This window comes from Homo sapiens, chromosome 2 (assembly GCF_000001405.40).
Source record: "Homo sapiens chromosome 2, GRCh38.p14 Primary Assembly".
NCBI classification, from domain to species: domain Eukaryota; kingdom Metazoa; phylum Chordata; class Mammalia; order Primates; family Hominidae; genus Homo; species Homo sapiens.
Window position 1 is genome coordinate 55814647 of NC_000002.12, and position 21698 is coordinate 55836344.

Consider the following 21698-nt stretch of genomic DNA (forward strand, 5'->3'; position numbering starts at 1 on the left):
AAGAGAGTAGTGGTTCTCCCAGCACACAGCTTGAGATCTGAAAATGGGCAGACTGCCTCCTCAAGTGGGTCCCTGACCCCCGAGTAGCCCAACTGGGAGGCACCCCTCAGTAGGGGCAGACTGACACCTCACACGGCCGGGTACTCCTCTGAGACAAAACTTCCAGAGGAACGATCAGGCAGCAGCATTTGCGGTTCACCAATATCAGCTGTTCTGCAGCCACCACTGCTGATACTCAGGCAAACAGGGTCTGGAGTGGACCTCAGCAAACTCCAACAGACCTGCAGCTGAGGGTCCTGACTGTTAGAAGGAAAACTAACAAACAGCAAGGACATCCACACCAAAAACCCATCTGTACGTCACCATCATCAAAGACCAAAGGTAGATAAAACCACAAAGATGGGGAAAAAACAGAGCAGAAAAACCGGAAACTCTAAAAATCAGAGCACCTCTCCTCCTCCGAAGGAACGCAGCTCCTCACCAGCAATGGAACAAAGCTGGATGGAGAATGACTTTGACGAGTTGAGAGAAGAAGGCTTCAGAAGATAAAACTACTCCAAGCTAAAGGAGGAAGTTCGAAGCAACGTCAAAGAAGTTAAAAACTTGAAAAAAAATTAGACGAATGGCTAACTAGAATAACCAACGCAGAGAAGTCCTTAAAGGACCTGATGGAGCTGAAAACCACGGCACGAGAACTACGTGACAAATGCACAAGCCTCAGTAGCAGATGCGATCAACTGGAAGAAAGGGTATCAGCGATGGAAGATGAAATGAATGAAATGAAGTGAGAAGAGAAGTTTAGAGAAAAAAGAATAAAAAGAAATGAACAAAGCCTCGAAGAAATATGGGACTATGTGAAAAGACCTAACCTACATCTGATTGGTGTACCTGAAAGTGACGACGAGAATGGAAGCAAGCTGGAAAACACTCTGCAGGATATTATCCAGGAGAACTTCCTCAATCTAGCAAGGCAGGCCTACATTCAAATTCAGGAAATACAGAGAACACCACAAAGATACTCTTCGAGAAGAGCAACTCCAAGACACATAATTGTCAGATTCACCAAAGTTGAAATGAAGGAAAAAATGTTAAGGGCAGTCAGAGAGAAAGGTCGGGTTACCCACAAAGGGAAGCCCATCAGACTAACAGCGGATCTCTCAGCAGAAACTCTACAAGCCAGAAGAGAGTGGGGGCCAATATTCAACATTCTTAAAGAAAAGAATTTTCAACCCAGAATTTCATATCCAGCCAAACTAAGCTTCATAAGTGAAGGAGAAATAAAATACTTCACAGACAAGCAAATGTTGAGAGATTTTGTCACCATCAGGGCTCCCTAAAAGAGCTCCTGAAGGGAGCACTAAACATGGAAAGGAGCAACCGGTACCGGCCACTGCAAAAACATGCCAAATTGTAAAGACCTTCAAGGCTAGGAAGAAACTGCATCAACTAATGAGCAAAATAAGCAGCTAACATCATAATGACAGGATAAAATTCACACATAACAATATTAACCTTAAATGTAAATGGGCTAAATGCTCCAATTAAAAGACACAGACTGGCAAATTGGATAACAAGTCAAGACCCATCAGTGTGCTGTATTCAGGAAACCCATCTCACGTGCAGAGACACACATAGGCTCAAAATAAAGGGATGGAGGAAGATCTACCAAGCAAATGGAAAACAAAAAAAGGCAGGGGTTGCAATCCTAGTCTCTGATAAAACAGACTTTAAACCAACAAAGATCAAAAGAGACAAAGAAGGCCATTACATAATGGTAAAGGGATCAATTCAACAAGAGAGCTAACTATCCTAAATATATATGCACCCAATACAGGAGAACCCAGATTCATAAAGCAAGTCCTGAGTGACCTACAAAGAGACTTAGACTCCCACACAATAATAATGGGAGACTTTAACACCCCACTGTCAACATTAGACAGATCAACGAGGTAGAAAGTTAACAAGGATATCCAGGAATTGAACTCAGCTCTGCATGAAACAGACCTAATAGACATCTACACAACTCTCCACCCCAAATCAACAGAATATGCATTGTTTTCAGCACCACACCACACCTATTCCAAAATTGACCATATAGTTGGAAGTAAAGCGCTCCTCAGCAAATGTAAAAGATCAGACATTATAACAGTCTCTCAGATCACAGTGCAATCAAACTAGAACTCAGGATTAAGAAACTCACCCAAAACCACTCAACTACATGGAAACTGAACAACCTGCTCCTGAATCACTACTGGGTACATAACAAACTGAAGGCAGAAATAAAGATGTTCTTTGAAACAAGTGAGAACACAACATACCAGAATCTCTGGGACACATTAAAGCAGTGTGTAGAGGGAAATTTATAGCACTAAATGCCCACAAGGAAAAGCAGGAAAGATCCAAAATTGACACCCTAACATCACAATTAAAAGAACTAGAGAAGCAAGAGCAAACACATTCAAAAGCTAGCAGAAGGCAAGAAATAATTAAGATCAGAGAAGAACTGAAGGAAATAGAGACACAAAAAACCCTCAAAAAATCAATGGATCCTGGCGCTGGTTTTTTGAAAAGATCAACAAAATTGACAGACCACTAGCAAGACTAATAAAGAAGAAAAGAGAGAAGAATCAAATAGACGCAATAAAAAATGATAAAGGGGATATCACTACCGATCCCACAGAAATACAAACTACCATCAGAGAATACTATAAACACCTCTACGCAAATAAACTAGAAAATCTAGAAGAAATGGATAAATTCCTCGACACATACACCCTCCCAAGACTAAACCAGGGAGAAGTTGAATCTCTGAATAGACCAATAATAGGCTCTGAAATTGAGGCAATAATTAATAGCTTACCAACCAAAAAAAGTCCAGGACCAGATGGATTCACAGCCGAATTCTACCAGAGGTGCAAGGAGGAGCTGGTACCATTCCTTCTGAAACTACTCCAATCAATAGAAATAGAGGGAATCCTCCCTAACTCATTTTATGAGGCCAGCATCCTCCTGATACTAAAGCCTGGAAGAGACACAACCAAAAAAGAGAATTTTAGACCAATATCCTTGATGAACATTGATGCAAAAATCCTCAATAAAATACTGGCAAACCGAATCCAGCAGCAAATAAAAAGCTTATCCACCATGATCGAGTGGGCTTCATCATCCCTGGGATGCAAGGCTGGTTCAACATATGCAAATCAATAAATGTAATCCAGCATATAAACAGAAACAAAGACAAAAACCACATGATTATCTCAATAGATGCAGAAAAGGCCTTTGACAAAATTCAACAACCTTCATGCTAAAAACTCTCAATAAATTAGGTTTTGATGAGACGTATCTCAAAATAATAAGAGCTATCTATGACAAACCCACAGCCAATATCATACTGAATGGACCAAAACTGGAAGTATTCCCTTTGAAAACTGGCACAAGACAGGGATGCCCTCTCTCACCACTCCTATTCAACACAGTGTTGGAAGTTCTGGCCAGGGCAATCAGGCAGGAGAAGGAAATAAAGGGCATTCAATTAGGAAAAGAGGAAGTCAAATTGTCCCTGTTTGCAGATGACATGAGTGTATATCTAGAAAACCCCATCATCTCAGCCCAAATTCTTCTTAAGCTGATAAGCAACTTCAGCAAAGTCTCAGGATACAAAATCAATGTACAAAAATCACAAGCATTCTTATACACCAATAACAGACAAACAGAGAGCCAAATCATGAGTGAACTCCCATTCACAATTGCTTCAAAGAGAATAAAATACCTAGGAATCCAACTTGCAAGGGATGTGAAGGACCTCTTCAAGGAGAACTACAAACCACTGCTCAATGAAATAAAAGTGGATACAAACAAATGGAAGAACATTCTGTGCTCATGGGTAGGAAGAATCAATATTGTGAAAATGGCCATACTGCCCAAGGTAATTTATAGATTCAATGCCATCCCCATCAAGCTACCAATGACTTTCTTCACAGAATTGGAAAAAACTGCTTTAAAGTTCATATGGAACCAAAATAGAGCACACATTGCCAAGTCAATCCTAAGCCAAAGGAACAAAGCTGGAGGCATCATGCTACCTGACTTCAAACTATACTACAAGGCTACAGTAACCAAAACAGCATGGTACTAGTACCAAAACAGAGATATAGAACAATGGAACAGAACAGCGCCATCAGAAATAATGCCGCATATCTACAACTATCTAATCTTTCACAAACCTGACAAAAACAAGCAATGGGGAAAGGATTCCCTATTTAATAAATGGTGCTGGGAAGACTAGCTAGCCATATATAGAAAGCTCAAACTGGATCCCTTCCTTACACCTTATACAAAAATGAATTCAAGATGGATTAAAGACTTACATGTTAGACCTAAAACCATAAAAACCCTAGGAGAAAACCTAGGCAATAAGGTTCAGGACATAGCCATGGGCAAGGACTTCATGTCTAAAACACTAAAAGCAATGGCAACAAAAGCCAAAATTGACAAATGGGATCTAATTAAACTAAAGAGCTTCTGCACAGCAAAAGAAACTACCATCAGAGTGAACAGGCAACCTACAGAATGGGAGAAAATTTTCGCAACCTACTGATCTGACAAAGGGCTAATATCTAGAATCTACAATGAACTCAAATTGACAAGAAAAAAACAGCCCCATCAAAGAGTGGGTGAAGGACATGAACAGACACTTCTCAAAAGAAGATATTTATGCAGCCAAAAAACACATGAAAAAATGCTCACCATCACTGGCCATCAGAGATATGCAAATCAAAACCACTATGAGATACCATCTCACACCAGTTAGAATGGCAATCATTAAAAAGTCAGGAAACAACAGGTGCTGGAGAGGATGTGGAGAAATAGGAACACTTTTACACTGTTGGTGGGACTGTAAACTTGTTCAACCATTGTGGAAGACAGTGTGGCGATTCCTCAGGGATCTAGAACTAGAAATACCATTTGATCCAGCCATCCCATTACTGGGTATATACCCAAAGGATGATAAATCATGCTGCTATAAAGACACATGCACACCTATGTTTATTGCGGCACTATTCACAATAGCAGAGACTTGGAACCAACCCAAATGTCCAACAATGATAGACTGGATTAAGAAAATGTGGCACATACACACCGTGGAATACTATGCAGCCATAAAAAAGGATGAGTTCATGTCCTTTGTAGGGACGTGGATGAAGCTGGAAACCATCATTCTCAGCAAACTATCTCAAGGACAAAAAACCAAACACCGCATGTTCTCACTCATCGGTGGGAATCGAACAATGAGAACACATGGACACAGGAAGGGGAACATCACACACCGGGGCCTGTTGTGGGGTGGGGGAAGGGGGAGGGATAGCATTAGGAGATATACGTGATGCTAAATGACAAGTTAATGGGTGCAGCACACCAACATGGCACATGTATACATATGTAACAAACCTGCAAGTTGTGCACATGTACCCTAAAACTTAAAGTATAATGATAATATAATTAAAAAAAAATTATAATGATTTAGTGAAATTTACTTCAGTATATCTCTCACCATAAAAAGGTGATCAAAATAGCACAGAGTACACTCTTGCCACTTCTAGTCACCATAGTACTGGAAGTTCAAACCAGAACAATTAGACAAGAAAAAAATAAAAAGCATCCAAATTGGAAAGGAAAAAGTAAAATCATCTCTATCTGTAGACAATTCTAAGGACTTAGAAAACTATTTGAACTATAAAAGAATTCTGTAAAGTTGCAAGTTACAAAGTCAACATACAAAACTCAGTTCTATTTCTATACACAAACCACGAATTGCATACAAAATTAACTGAAAAATCAATTCTATTCACAGTAGCAGCAAAAGAATGAAATACACAGGAATAAACTAAAAAAAGAAGTGAAACACTTTTAGACTGAAAATTATAAAACTAATGAAGGAAGTGAAATAAAACACAGATAAATGAAAAGACATCCTGTGTTTATGGATTGGAATAACTAATATTATTAAAATGTGCATACTATCTAAAGTGATCTATAGAGTCAATGCAATCCCAATTAAAATCTTCACAGAAATAGAAAAAAATCTTAAAACTTATATGGAACTACAAAAACCCTGAAAAACAATAGGAATCTTGAACAAAAAGAACAAAGCTGAAGGCATCACACTTCCTGATTTCAAAATATATTATAAACTGATAGTAATCCAAACAGCATAGTACTGGCATAAAAACAGACATAGACCAGTGAAATAGAATGGAGGGACCAGAACTAAATCTACACATTATAGTCAACTGATCTTCAATAATGGTGCCGAGAACACACAATAGGGAAAGGATCACATCTTTAATAAACAGTGTTGGGAAAATTGGATATCCACAGGTAGAAGAATGAAATTGGACCCTTATCTCATATCATATACAAAATGAACTGAAAATGGATTAGTGAGTTAAGTGTAAGACCTGAAACCACAGAACTACTGCAAGGAAACATAGTGAAAAAGCTTCTTGACATTGGTCTGGGCAATGATTTTTTGGATATTACACCAAAAGCACAAGCAACAGAAGTAAAAATAGACAAGTAGGATTGCATCAAACTAAAAGTTTCTTCACAGCAAAGAAAAAAACCAATAGAGTGAAAAGACAATCTAGAGCATAGGAGAAAATATTTGCAAACTATATATCTGATAACTGGTTAATTTCCAAAATATATAAAGAATAACTCTTACAAATCAATAGCAAGAAAACAAACATCCTGATTTAAAAAATGGGAAGGACTTGAACAGATGTTTCTCAAAGAGAAGACAATAAAATGGCCAATGGCTATGTAAAAAGATGCTCAACATCACTAGTCATCAGGGAAATGCAAATCAAAACCATATGGTAACACCCCACACCTGTTAGAGGGGCTACTATCAAAAAGACAAAGTATAACAAGTGTTGGCAAGGACGTGGAGAAAAGGGAGCCCTTGTACACCATTGGTGAGAATGTAAATTGGCATAGCCATTATGAAAAATAGTATGGAGGGTCCTTAAAAAAATTAAAGATAGAATTACCATATGATCCAGCCATTTCACTTCTGGGTATAAATCCAAAGGAACTGAAATCAGTATCTTGAAGAGATATTTGCACTCCCATATTCTTTGCAGCATTATTCGCAATAGCAGAGAAATGGAAACAACTTAAATGTCGCTGAGAGATGAATGGATAAATAAAATGTGGTCTATATTATATACAATGGAATATTCTTGAGCCTTAGAAAAGAAGAAAAGCTGCCATTTACAATAATATGGAGTAACCTGGAGGACATTATGCTAAGTGAAATAATCTGGACACAGAAAGGCAAATACTGCATGGTTTCATTTATATCTGATATCTAAAATAGTCAAACTCACAGAAGCAGAGTAGAATGGTGGTTGCCAGGGGATCGGGGGAGGGAGAAATGGAGAGATGTTGATTGAAGGTTATAAAGTTTTAGTTTTGCAAGATGAATAAGTACTGGAGATCTAATGCACAGCAATGTGACTATAGTTAAAAATACTGTATTATACACCTGAACTTCCAAGACAGTAGATGTTTTTCAGCCCCTCACTCCCAACACACACACCAAAGTAACTATATGAGGGAATGGATATGTTAATTAGCTTGATTATGGTGATTGTTTCATAATGTATATAAAAATATCAAGTTGTATACTTCAGCTATATACAATTTTAAGGCAATAAAAAATGCAGAGTAAAATTGACAACACTCAAACAGTGTGGTAAAATTATTTGGGACCTATTTTTGAATTTTTAGGTATATTTTATCAGCATCTAATATGAGGTCCTGTTCATCACAAGTACTTTGCTAATTGGCATGCCTAGTTTACTTCTTTTTCTTTAAGTCAAGTTTTCATTTTATCTTATTTGGAAAACTAGTAAAAAATTAACTAGTCGGGACCCATAGCCAACCTGGAAAGGAAGAGCTAAAAACTGGCTGATCTTTAACATTTAATCAATAAGTAACTCTCTTATTTCTGCTTGTACATAATGTAGATATTTGTTTGGGACTGCTATTTACTAGTTAGTCACATTATAGTCATCTAATAAATTCCATTGAATTAAATTAAATTATTTTGAAAGTGAACTTAAAAATTTTGACAGTGATTCATAATTTGGAGGATTCTGATCAGCTTAAAAGTACAAGATAAGTATTTGACAAAGAAGTCATTTCCTATTTTGTCCGTTAAAAAAATTCATATTCCATTTCAAAGGGCTCACCTAGAGTGATAGTTAATTTCCCATTGATAAAATAAGTGGTCACTATCAAAATCTTTCATTTACTCTTAACAGAAAGTAAACCCATTTCCAATCTGCATGAGTTGTTCTGAAACTAAGCATGATTTCCACTAATAAATTATGAGAAATACAACAAGTTATGAATGATGACCAAAAGATACAGATGCTAAATGTTTAGTTAAAAAAAAGCAATCTTGTAAAGAAAAAAATCCAAGTTCTTGAAAAATGTTAAAATAAGTGCAGAGCTTTAGTTCTTAAGCTGGGAGCAGTCATATTAATTAGTTATAAAAATTAGCAATTGAAATAAAATGCAGCACATCAATAGAAAAGGCCGCTTGAGAATTGTGAGTCGAAATTATTCTACTGTTTTAGGTCAGAAATTTTATGACATACTATAAAATAAGGAAATTTCCAAATTCTGTATGTAGAATGAAACTTTTTTGAAGTTCTGGGAAACTGATTTGCAAATCACTTTCATGTATGTTGTTTACTTGTGTATGTTAAGCCTAAACCTAGGCAGTGCAGCCTAGTAGTGAAGAGGAAGCTACTGGAGCCTGACTGATTAGATCCAAATGCTTGCATTCTCATTTATCAGCTACAGGACCTCCAAGACCTTGGGAAATTACTTAACCTCTTCAAGCTTTGGCTTCGTCATTTCTAAAATGGGGATAACAGTCCTACTTCACAGGATTTTAGTCAGGATTAGATGTCATAATGCATCTAAAAATTTCTACTTATTATTATTACTGCTAGCTATAGGAGAGAATGCTCTGGCTTAATCCAAATAACTTTCTATTCATTTTAACATATAGTTGGTGTCTTGAGAATGTTCTTTCCTGCCTAAATTATTTAATCTTTATGTCCATGTTCTTCCTAAAGGCCTCTGAGTCAGCTGTGGGCTGTGTGTGTGTTTGGTGTGATTAAGATTAGAAAATGGAAAATATATTGTGGATCCCTCTACTTAAGATGGCTGACTAGGCCAGGGGCGGTGGCTCGTGCCAATCCCAGCAGCACTTTAGGAGGACCGACGGGACAAGTGCTTGATCCCAGGAGTTCGAGAGTAGCCTGGGCAACAAAAGGAAACGCCATCTCTACAAGAAATTAAAAAAAAAAAAGCCAGGCCTGGTGTTGCGTGCCTGCCGTCCTAGCTACTCCCGAGGCTGAGGCGGGAGGATCACTTGAGCTCGGGAGGTTGAGGCTGCAGTAACTCGAGATCTCGCCACTGCACTCCAGCTTCTGCGACAGAGCGAGACCGTGTCAAAAAAAAAAAAAAAAAAAAAGGCTGACTAGAAACAGCTAGTGTGCGCCACTCTCACAAACAGAAGAAAGTGGTAAGTAGACACTACCTCTTTTTTTTTTGTTGTTTGTTTTTGAGACGGAGTCTCGCTCTGTCGCCTAGACTGGAGTGCAGTGGCGCAATCTCGGCTCACTGCAAGCTCCGCCTCCCGGGTTCACGCCACTCTCCTGCCTCGGCCTCCGGAGTAGCTGGGACTACAGGCGCCCGCCACCACGCCTGGCTAATTTAGCTCTTTAACTAGATCATCCAGGTGGACACTCTGGGATTCAGCGAGGAAACAACACAACCCACGGAGAACAAAGACGAGTAAGACAGGAGAGCCTCCCACCAGGAGTGGTACGGAGCCAGGAGAGGCCCCCAACATGGGGAAATGGTGAGTGAGTCAGAGTGCCTGGGGACCCACACTTCTGCCAGGGGACTTTTGCAACACTGGGCTCAGGAGAACACCCATGACCTCTCCCAACCGGGGCCTGCAGACTGACAGGGAGAGCTAGGTGGAGTCTGGGTGGAGCCGCCACTCAGGCACATGCAGAGTGCTGGTGGCCTTGGATCCCAGGGCAACCCAACACCAGCGGCTGCAGTTCCGGCAACAGGGAAGGTCAGGCTCCTTCCCACACCACCAAGATAGAGACCACACCCACGGGGCTGTGCAGTGGACAAACTGCAGGGCTCACCTGCACTGCACCTCCTCAGACAAGGTCCACTGGCCTGGGACCTTAGCGTAGCCACCCAGCGCCAGCTGATCTCTCAGGCCACTAGCTGCTCTGCGCTTCCCTGGGACGGAGCTCCCAGAGGTAGCAGGCAGGCCGCCATTTTCGCTGCTCCACAGCAGTCCCTCCTGTTGCCCTCAGGCTCTGGAGGGAGCACCGTGATTACGCACTCACAGGGACCCCCAGTACAGCACAGCTGCCTTACAGTAAAGCGGCCAGATTGTTTTCCACATGGGTCCCCAGCCCAGCGCCTTCTCACTGGGCAGGGCCTCTTGACCTGGAATCCCAGCCACCCCTTGCTTGGACCATTGGGCTGGTAACAGTTCTGCACTTCCCTGAGATGGAGCTCCCAGAAGTAGCAGGTGGGTCGCCATTTTCGCTACTCCACAGCCCTTGCTCCTGTTGCCCTCAGGCTGAGGAGTGCAGTGATTAGGGACTCACGCGGGGCTCCAGCACAGTGCAGCTGCCTTACGGAAAAGGAGCCAGACAGTTTTCCATGCGGGTCCCTGCCCCTGCTACTCCTCACTGCGCAGGATCTCTTGACTTGGGACCCCAGCACAGCCACCCTGCCCCTGCTTGAACACTTCCGTTGGTGGCAGCTCTGCGTTTCTCTGGGGAGGAAATCCCAGACATGATCCACAGTCCCTCGGTCACTGAAGCTGCAGTGGTATTGCCCTTATTGCCCTCAGGCTGGGGAAGAAACAAAGGACCTGGTTGCCTCGCTGGAACCTCCAGCATGCTGCAGCCACCATACAGAGAGGAGCCCAGTCTCTCTTCTCTGTGAGCCCCTATCTCCCACCCTTCACCAGGCAGGGCCCCCCAGCTCGGGACCACAGAGCAGCTACCTCACCCCCAGCTGAGCATTTCCACTGGTAGTGGCTCTGTGTTTCCCTGGGGTGGAGCTCCCTGAGGCAACCGACAGCCCCGACAGCCCCATTGCCACTGCAGTGGTTCTGCCCTTGCTGCCCTAGGACTGAGGAAGGAACAAAGGGCCTGAGGGATTTACTTGTGGCACCAGCATGTCAAAGTCACCATATGGAGGGGATCCCAGTCTGCGCTCCCTGTGAACCCCCAACTGCCTGCTCTTCACCAGTTGCCCCCTACCTTGGGCCAGCTGCACAGACACCCCACCCCCTGACTGAACATTCCCATTGGCAGCAGCTCTGCATTTCTCTGAAGTGGAGCTCCCAGAGGCAACTGAAAGCCCCTCTGCCACTGCCACTGCAGTGGTACTGCCACTGCAGTGGTACTGCTCCTGCTGCCCTTGGACTGAGGAAGGAACAAAGACTCTAACTGCTTTACCTACACCTCCAGCAAGCTACAGCTGCCCTAAGGAGAAGCCAGTCCACCTCCCTTATGAGCCGCCTGCACCCTCCTGCTCATCACCAGGGAGGGCCTCCAGGCTTGGGCCCACAACATGGCTGCCCCACCCCGGACTGATTGCACCAATTGGTAGTGGCTCTGCATTTCTTTGGGATGGAACCCCAAGACACAAGTGAAAGGCCCTCTGCCACACCACTGCCAAGGTCCCTTCCCCCGCTGCCTCCAAGCTGGGGAGGGAACGTAAAACCTGAGCTGGCTCGAGGGCTGCAGTGTGCAGCCCAGGAGTGCCAAGCCAAGATCTGCAGCCAGCACTTGAGGGGAAGAGGAGCCCGCACTCTAAGAGCACTGAGAGAAAGCACAGCTGCAAACATGAGGAGATGCAGAAGAGCCATGTGACTGAGCAAGAGCCTACCTACTGGCCATTACGTTAACCGCCATCTACCCGATCGCAGTCTAAAGTTCAACACCAAAAATACTTTGCTAATACAACCCCTCATGAAACCAAGGACAAGAATTCAGCTAAAAATAAAGACCCTGCACAAAACTTTGGCATGCTGAAAACATTCAGAAATGAAGTCAGCTGATTATATTTTCAAATTACACTACAGTTAAGGAACATCAGCTCACACAGATGAGAAAGAATCAGTGCAAGAACTCTGGAAACTCAAGCCTAGAGTGTCTTTTTTCCTTCAAATGACTGCACTGGTTCCCTAGCAAGGGTTCTTAACCAGGTTGAAATGGCTAGAATGACGGACATAGAATTCAGAATATGGATAGGAATGAAGATCATTGAAATTCAGGGGAAAGTCAAAACTCAATCCAAGGAATGTAAGGATTACAATAAAATGATACAGGAGCTGAAAGACAAAATGGCCATTATAAGAAAGAACTGATCTGATAGAGGTGAGAAACACACTACAAGAATTTCATAATGCAATCACAAGTATTTATAGCAGAATAGACCAAGCTGAGGAAAGAATCTCAGCACTCAGACTGGGTCTTCAATTTAACTCAGTCAGACAGAAATAAAGAAAAAAGAGTAAAAAAAAATGAACAAAACCTCCAAGAAATATGAGATTATGTGAAGAGACCCAACCTGTAATCACCCAACAGTTTCACCTTGTCTGCTGCCTAAACAGCTGATTTATCAAGACAAGGGAATTGCAATAAAGAGTCATTCATGCAGAGCCGGCTGTGCGGGAGACCAGAGCTTTATTATTACTCAAATCAGTCTCCCTGAGAATTTGGGGATTGGAGTTTTTAAGGATAATTTGGTGGGTGGGGGTGGGGCCAGTGAATCAGGAGTTCTGATTGGTCAGGTTGGAGATGAAATCATAGGGAGGTAAAGCTGTCCTCTAGTGCTGAGTCAGTTCCTGAGTCAGACCAGATGGTCCAGTTTATTGATCTAGGTGGAGCCAGCTGATCCATCTAGTACAGGGTCTGCAAAATATCTCAAGCACTGATCTTAGGTTTTATAATAGTGGTGTTATCCCCAGGAGCAATTTGGGGAGGTTTAGAATCTTGCAGCCTCCAGCTGCATGACTCCTAAACCATAATTTCTAATCATGTGGCTTATTTGTTAGTCCTACAAAGACAGTCTATTCCCCAGGTAGGAAGGGGGTTTGTTTGGGGAAAGAGCTTTATCATCTTTGTTTCAAAGCTGAACTATAAACTAAGTTCCTCTCAAAGTTAGTTTGGCCTATGCCTAGAAATGAACAAGGACAGCTTGGAGGTTAGAGGCAAGATGGATTCGGTTAGGTCAAATCTCTTTCACTGTCTCAGTTATAATTTTGCAATGACCATTTCAAACTTATGACTCATTGGTGTCCCTGAAAGAGAGGGAGAAAAAATATGCAACTCTGAAAACATATTTGAGGATATTATTTACAAACATTTTTTCAACCTTGTTAGACCAACATTTAAATTCAGGAGATGCAGAGAACCCCTGTGAGATATTATACAAGATGATCATTCCCAAGACATATAATCAGATTCTCTAAGGTTGACATGAAAGAAAAAATATTAAAAGCAGCTAGAAAGACAGGGCATGTCACCTATTAATACAAAGGGAAACCCATTAAGATAACAGTAGAATTTTCACTAGAAACTCTATAAGCCAGAAGAGATTGTGGGCCTGTATTCAACATTCTTAAAGAAAAGAAACTTCAACCAAGAATTTCACATCTAGTCAAACTAAGCTTCATAAGTGAAGAAAAAATAAGGTCCTTTTCAGAAAACCAAATGCTAAGGGAATTCGTTACCACCAGACCTGCCTGCCTTACAAAAGGTACTTAAGGGAATGCTAAATATGGAAACAAGAGACTATTACCAGCCACCACAAAAACACACTTAAGTATATAGACCATTAACACTATAAAGCAACCACACAATCAAGTCTGCATAATAACCAGCTAATGACATGATGACAGGATTGAATCTGCACATATCAATATTAACTTTTAATGTAAACAGGCTAAGTACTCCAATTAAAAGGCACAGAGTTGCAAGTTGGATAAAGAAGCAAGACCTGGCTGTATGATGTCTTCAAGAGACCCATTTCACATGCAATGACACCCATAGGCTCAAAGTAAAGGGATGGAGAAAAATCTATCAAGCAAATGGGAAACAAAAAATCAGGTTGCTTATTCTAATTTCAGACAAATCAGACTTTAAGCCAATAATGATTTGAAAAGACAAAGAAGAGTATTATATAGTGGTAAAATGTTCAATTGAACAAGAAGATGTAACTATCCTAAATATATTTTCCCCCTATACAGGAGCACCCAGATTCATGAAGCAAATTTTTAGAGACCTAGAAAGAGACTTAGATAACCACACAATAATAGTGGGAGAATTCAACACCCCACGACAGTATTAGACAGATCATTGAAGCAGAAAACTAATGAAGATATTTGGGACCTGACCTTGACACTTGACCAAATGGGCCTAACAATTATCTACAGAAGTCTTCACCCAAAAACAACAGACTATACATTCTTCTTCTCATGTGCACATGGCACATACTCTAAAATTAACCACACAATTGGCCATAAAACAGTCCTCAGCAAATTCAAAAAAACTGAAATATGAAATACATTCTCAGATCGTGGAACAATTAAAATGTAAATCAACACTAAGAAATCACTCAAAACTATACAAGTATATGAAAAATTAAACAACCTGCTCCTGAATGACTTTTGGGTAAAAAATGAAGTTAAGGCAGAAATCAAGAAATTCTTTGAAACTAATGAGAACAAAGATATTACATACCAGAATCTCTGGGACACAGCTAAGGGAGTATTAGGAGGCAAGTTTATAGTGCTAAAGGCTCACTTAAAAAAGAAAGATCTCAAAGTAACAACCTAACATCACATCTAGAGGAACTAGAGAAACAAGAGCAAACTAACCCCAAAACTAGCAGAAGACAAGAAATAATCAAAATTAGAGCTGAACTGACAGAAATTGAGAAATGAAAAACCATACAAAAGATAAGCAAATGCAGTAGTTTGTTCATTGAAGGAATAAATAAGATTGATAACCTGCTGGCTAGATGAATAAAGGAAAAAAATGAGAAGATCCAAGTAAACATAATCAGAAATGACAAAGGGGACTTTACCACTGACCCCACAGAAGTACAAAGAACTCTCAGAGACTACTATGAACACTTCTATGAACACAAACTGGAAGAAACCTAGAAGAAATGGATAAATTCCTGGAAACATATAACCTCCCAAGATTGAACAAGGAAGAAATTGAATCCCTGAACAGACCAGTAATGAGTTCTGAAATAGAATCAGTAATAAAAAGCCTACCAACCAGAAAAAGCCCAGGGCCAGATGGATTCACAGCTGAATTCTACCAGATGTCTAAAGAAGAGCTGGTACTGTTCCTACTGAAACTATTTCAAAAAATTGAGGAGAAGAGACTCCTCCCCAGCTCATTCTATGAGTCCAGCATCACCCTTATACCAAAACCTGGCAGAGACACGACAATGAACAATAAAACTTCAGGCCAATTTCCTTGCAGATGACATTATTCTTACCTAGAAACCCCCAAAATCTCTGCCCCAAAACTCCTAGATCCCATAAACAACTTCAGCAAAGTTTCAGGATACAAAATTAATGTACAAAAGTCAGTAGCATTTCTATACACCAACAACATCTAAGCTGAGAGCCAAATCAAGAATGCAGTCCCATTCACAATAACCACAAGAAGAATAAAATACATAGGAATATAGCTAACCAGGGAGGTACAAGATCTCTACAATGAGAATTATGAAAAACTGCTCAAAGAAATCAGAGATGACACAAACAAATGGGGAAACATTCTATACTCATGGATAGGAAGAATCCATTTTGTTAAAATGGCCATACTACCCAAAACAATTTACAGATTCAATGCTATTCCTATCAAACTACCAATGATATTCCTCACAGAATTACAAAAAAAATTTTAAAATTCATAGAGAACCACAAAAGAGCCGGAATAGGCAGAGCAATCCTAAAGAAAAAGAACAAAGCTGGAGGCATTATGTTACCTTGTTACCTGACTCCAAACAATAAAGGCTACAGTAACCAAAGCTGCATGATACTGGTACAAAAACAGACACATAGACCAATGTAACAACATAGAAAGTCCAGAAATAATGTCGCAGTCCTACAACCATCTGATCTTTGACAAAGTTGACAAAAACAAGCACTGGGGACAGGACTCCTTCAATAAATGGTGTTGGGATTACTGGCTAATCATATGCAGAAAATTGAAACTAGCCACTGTCCTTACACCATATACAAAAATCAATTCAAGATGGATTAAAGACTTAAATGTAAAACCTAAAAGTATAAGAACCCTGGAAGATAATGTAGGAAATACTATTCTGGACATAGGCCCTGGCAAAGATTTCATGATGAAGATGGCAAAAGCAATAGCAACAAAACAAAAATGGACAAACGAGACTTAATTAAATCAAAGAGCTTCTGCACAGCAAAAGAAACTATCAACAGAGCAAACAGACAGCCTACAGAATGGGAGAAAATATTTGCAAACTAGGCATCTGACAATGATCTAGTAACAAGCATTTATAAGGAACTTAACAGGCAAAAACAAAGAGCTTCATTAAAAAGTGGGCAAAGGACGTGAACAGATACTTTTCAAAAGAAGACATGCACGCAGCCAACAGGCATATGGAAACATACTCAACATTATAAATCATTAGAGAATTGCAAATCAAAACCACGATGAGATACCATCTCATACCAGTCAGAATGGCCATTATTATTATTATTTTTAAATTATTATACTTTAAATTCTAGGGTACATGTGCACGAAGTGCAGGTTTATTACATAGGTATACATGTGCCATATTGGTTTCCTGCACCCATCAACTCGTCATTTACATTAGGTATTTCTCCAAATGCTATCCTTCTCCCAACCCCCATCCTCTGACAGGCCCTGGTGTGATGTTCCCCACCCTGTGTCCAAGTGTTCTCATTGTTTAATTCCCACCTATGAGTGAGAACATGCAGTGTTTGGTTTTCTGTCCTTGTGATAGTTTGCTGAAAATGATGGTTTCCAGCTTCATCTGTGTCCCTGCAAAGGACATGAACTCATCCTTTTTTATGGCTGCATAGTATTCCATGGTGTATATGTGCCACATGTTCTTAATCCAGTCCATCATTGATGGACATTTGGGTTGGTTCCAAGTCTTTGCTATTGCGAATAGTGCTGCAATAAACATACATGTGCATGTGTCTTTAGAGTAGCATGATTTATAATCCTTTGGTTATATACCAAGTAATGGGATGGCTGGGTCAAATGGTATTTCTAGTTCTAGATCCTTGAGGAATTGCCACACTGTCTTCCACAATAGCTGAACTAATTTATACTCCCCTCAACAGTGTAAAAGTGTTCCTATTTCTCCACATCCTCTCCAGCACCTGTTGTTTCCTGACTTTTTGATGATTGCCATTCTGACTAGCATGAGATGGTATCTCATTGTGGTTTTGATTTGCATTTCTCTGATGACCACAGACGATGAGCATTTTTTCATATGTCTGTTGGCTGCATAAATGTCTTCTTTTGAGAAGTATCTGTTCATATCCTTTGCCCACTTTTTGATGGGGTTGTTTGTTTTTTCTTGTAAATTTGTTTAAGTTCTTTGTAGATTCTGGATATTAGCCCTTGTCAGATGGGTAGATTGCAAAAATTTTCTCCCATTTTGTAGGTTGCCTGTTCACTCTGATGGTAGTTTCTTTTGCTGTGCAGAAGCTCTTTAGTTTAATTAGATCCCATTTGTCAATTTTGGCTTTTGTTGCCATTGCTTTTGGTGTTTTAGTCATGAAGTCCTTGCCCATGGCTGTGTCCTGAACGGTATTGCCTAGGTTTTCTTCTAGGGTTTTTATGGTTTTAGGTCTAACATGTAAGTCTTTAATCCATCTTGAATTGATTTTTGTATAAGGTGTAAGGAAGGGATCCAGTTTCAGCTTTCTACATATGGCTAGCCAGTTTTCCCAGCACTATTTATTAAATAGGGAACCCTTTCCCTATTGCTTGTTTTTGTCAGGTTTGTCAAAGATCATATGGTTGTAGATGTGTGGTATTATTTCTGAGGGCTCTGTTGTGTTCCATTGTTCTATATCTCTGTTTTGGTATCAGTACCATGCTGTTTTGGTTACTGTAGCCTTGTAGTATAGTTTGAAGTCAGGTAGCATGATTGCCTCCATCTTTGTTCTTTTTGTTTAGGATTGTCTTGGCTATGCAGGCTCTTTTTTGATTTCATATTAACTTTAAAGTAGATTTTTCCAATTCGTGAAGAAAGTCATTGGTAGCTTGATGGGGATGGCATTGAATCTATAAATCACCTTGAGCAGTATGGCCATTTTCACAATATTGATTCTTCCTATCCGTAAGCATGGAATGTTCTTCCATTTGTTTGTATCCTCTTTTATTTCATTGAGCAGTGGTTTGTAGTTCTCCTTGAAGAGGTCCTTCACATCCCTTGTAAGTTGGATTCCTAGGCATTTTATTCTCTTTGTAGCATTTGTGAATGGGAGTTCACTCATGATTTGGCTGTTTGTCTGTTATTGGTGTAGAGGAATGCTTGTGATTTTTGTACATTGATTTTGTATCCTGAGACTTTGCTGAAGTTGCTTAACAGCTTAAAGAGATTTTGGGCTGAGACGATGGGGTTTCCTAAATATACAATAATGTCATCTGCAAACAGGGCAATTTGACTTCCTCTTTTCCTAATTGAATACCCTTTATTTCTTTCTCCTGCCTAATTGCCCTGGCCAGAACTTCCAACACTATGTTGAATAGGAGTGGTGAGAGAGGGCATCCCTGTCTCGTGCCGGTTTTCAAAGGTAATGCTTCCAGTTTTTGCTCATTCAGTATGATATTGGCTGTGGGTTTGTCATAAATAGTTCTTATTATTTTGAGATACATTCCATCAATACCTAATTTATTGAGAGTTTTTAGTATGAAGCGCTGTTGAATTTTGTCAAAGGCCTTTTCTGCATCTATTGAGATAATCATGTGGTTATTGTCATTGGTTCTGTTTATGTGATGGATTACCTTTATTGATTTGCATATGTTGAACCAGCCTTGCATCCCAGGTATGAAGCCCACTTGATCATGGTGGATAAGCTTTTTGATGTGCTGCTGGATTTGGTTTGCCAATATTTTATTGATGATTGTTGCATTGATGTTCATCAGGGATACTGGTAAAAATTCTCTTTTTTTATTGTGTCTCTGCTAGGCTTTGGTAGCAGGATGATGCTGGCCTCATAAAATGAGTTAGGGAGGATTCCCTCTTTTTCTATTGATTGGAATAGTTTCAGAAGGAATGGTACCAGCTCCTCTTTGTACCTCTGGTAGAATTTTGCTTTGAATCCAACTGGTCCTGGACTCTTTTTGTTTGGTAGGCTATTAATTATTGCCTCAATTTCAGAGCCTGTTATTGGTCTATTCAGAGATTGAACTTTTTCCTGGTTTAGTCTTGGGAGGGTGTATGTGTACTGGAATTTATACATTTCTTCTAGATTTTCTAATTTATTTGCATAGAGGTGTTCAAAATATTCTCTGATGGTAGTTTGTAATTCTATGGGATTGGTGGTGATATCCCCTTTATCATTTTTTATTGTATCTATTTGATTCTTCTCTCTTTTCTTCTTTATTAGTCTTGCTAGTGGTCTATCAATTTTGTTGATCATTTCAAAAAACCAGCTCCTGGATTCATTGATTTTTTGAAGGTTTTTTGTGTCTCTATCTCCTTCAGTTCTGCTCTGATCTTAGTTATTTCTTGCCTTCTGCTAGCTTTTGAATTTTTCTGCTGTTGCTTCTCTAGTTCTTTTAATTGTGATGTTAGGGTGTCGATTTTAGATCTTTCCTGCTTTCTCTTATGGGCATTTAGTGCTGTAAATTTCCCTCTACACATTGCTTTTAATTTGTCCCAGAGATTCTGGTATGTTGTGTGTTTGTTCTCATTGGTTTCAAACAACATCTTTATTTCTGCCTTCATTTCGTTATTTACCCAGTAGTCATTCAGGAGCTGGTTGTTCAGTTTCCATGTAGTTGTGTGGTTTTGAGTGAGTTTCTTAATCCTGAGTTCTAATTGGATTGCACTGTGGTCTGAGAGACAGTGTGTTGTGATTTCTGTTCTTTTACATTTGCAAAGGAGTGCTTTACTTCCAATTATGTGGTCAATTTTAGAATAAGTGCTATGTGGTGCTGAGAAGAATGTATATTCTGTTGATTTTGGGTGGAGAGTTCTGTAGATGTCTATTAGGTCCACTTGGTGCAGAGCTGAGTTCAAGTCCTGGATATCCTTGTTAACCTTCTGTCTCATTGATCTGTCTAATATTGACAGTGAGGTGTTAAAGTCTCCCATTATTATTGTGTGGGATTCTAAGTCTCTTTGTAGGTCTCTAAGGACTTGCTTTATGAATCTGGGTGCTCCTGTATTGACTGCATATATATTTAGGATAGTTAGCTCTTCTTGTTGAATTGATCCCTTTACCATTATGCAATGGCCTTCTTTGTCTCTTTTGATCGTTGTTGGTTTAAAGTCCGTTTTATCAGAGACTAGGATTGCAACCTCTGCTTTTTTTATATTCCATTTGCTTGTTAGATCTTCCTCCATCCCTTTATTTTCAGCCTATGTGTGTCTCTGCACATGAGATGGGTCTCCTGAATACAGCACACTGATGGGTCTTGACTCTATCCAATTTGCCAGTCTGTGTCTTTTAATTGGGACGTTTAGCCCATTTACATTTAAGGTTAATATTGTTATATGTGAATTTGATCCTGTCATTATGATGTTAGCTGGTTATTTTGCTCGTTAGTTGATGCAGTTTCTTCCTAGCGTCGATGGTCTTTACAATTTGGCATGTTTTTGCAGTGGCCAGTACTGGTTGTTCCTTTCCGTGTTTAGTGCTCCCTTCAGGAGCTCTTTTAGGGCAGGCCTGGTGGTGACAAAATCTCTCAGTATTTGCTTGTCTGTAAAGTATTTTATTTCTCCTTCACTTATGAAGCTTAGTTTGGCTGGATATGAAATTCTGGGTTGAAAATTCTTTTCTTTAAGAATGTTGAATATTGGCCCCCACTCTCTTCTGGCTTGTAGGGTTTCTGCTGAGAGATCTGCTGTTAGTCTAATGGGCTTCCCTTTGTGGGTAACCCGACCTTTGTCTCTGGCTGCCCTTAACATTTTTTCCTCATTTCAACCTTGGTGAATCTGACAATTATGTGTCTTGAGGTTGCTCTTGTCAAGGAGTATCTTTATGGTGTTCTCTGTGTTTCCCAAATTTGAATGTTGGCCTGCCTTGCTAGGCTGGGGAAGTTCTCCTGGATAATATCCTGAAGAGTGTTTTCCAACTTGGTTCCATTATCCCCGTCACTTTCTGGTACACCAATCAAATGTAGATTTGGTCTTTTCACATAGTCCCATATTTCTTGGAGGCATTGTTCATTTTTATTACTCTTTTTTCTCTAGTCTTGTCTTCCTGCTTTATTTCATTAATTTGATCTTCAATCACTGATATCCTTTCTTTCATTTGATCAAATTGGCTATTGAAGCTTGTGCATGCATCATGAAGT

The 21698-nt window shown here is 40.1% G+C and overlaps 1 long non-coding RNA gene across 1 annotated transcript in view; it reads left to right on the plus strand.

Moving 5' to 3' along the window:
- The first annotated feature begins 9511 nt into the window (after window positions 1–9511).
- LOC112268416 (uncharacterized) overlaps window positions 9512–21698 on the plus strand; it is a 53528-nt gene continuing 41341 nt past the window's right edge. Inside the window, exons 1-2 of the long non-coding RNA XR_002959388.2 lie at window positions 9512–9607; window positions 9815–9946. This is a non-coding gene — a long non-coding RNA (uncharacterized LOC112268416). The remainder of the gene's footprint in view (window positions 9608–9814; window positions 9947–21698) is intronic.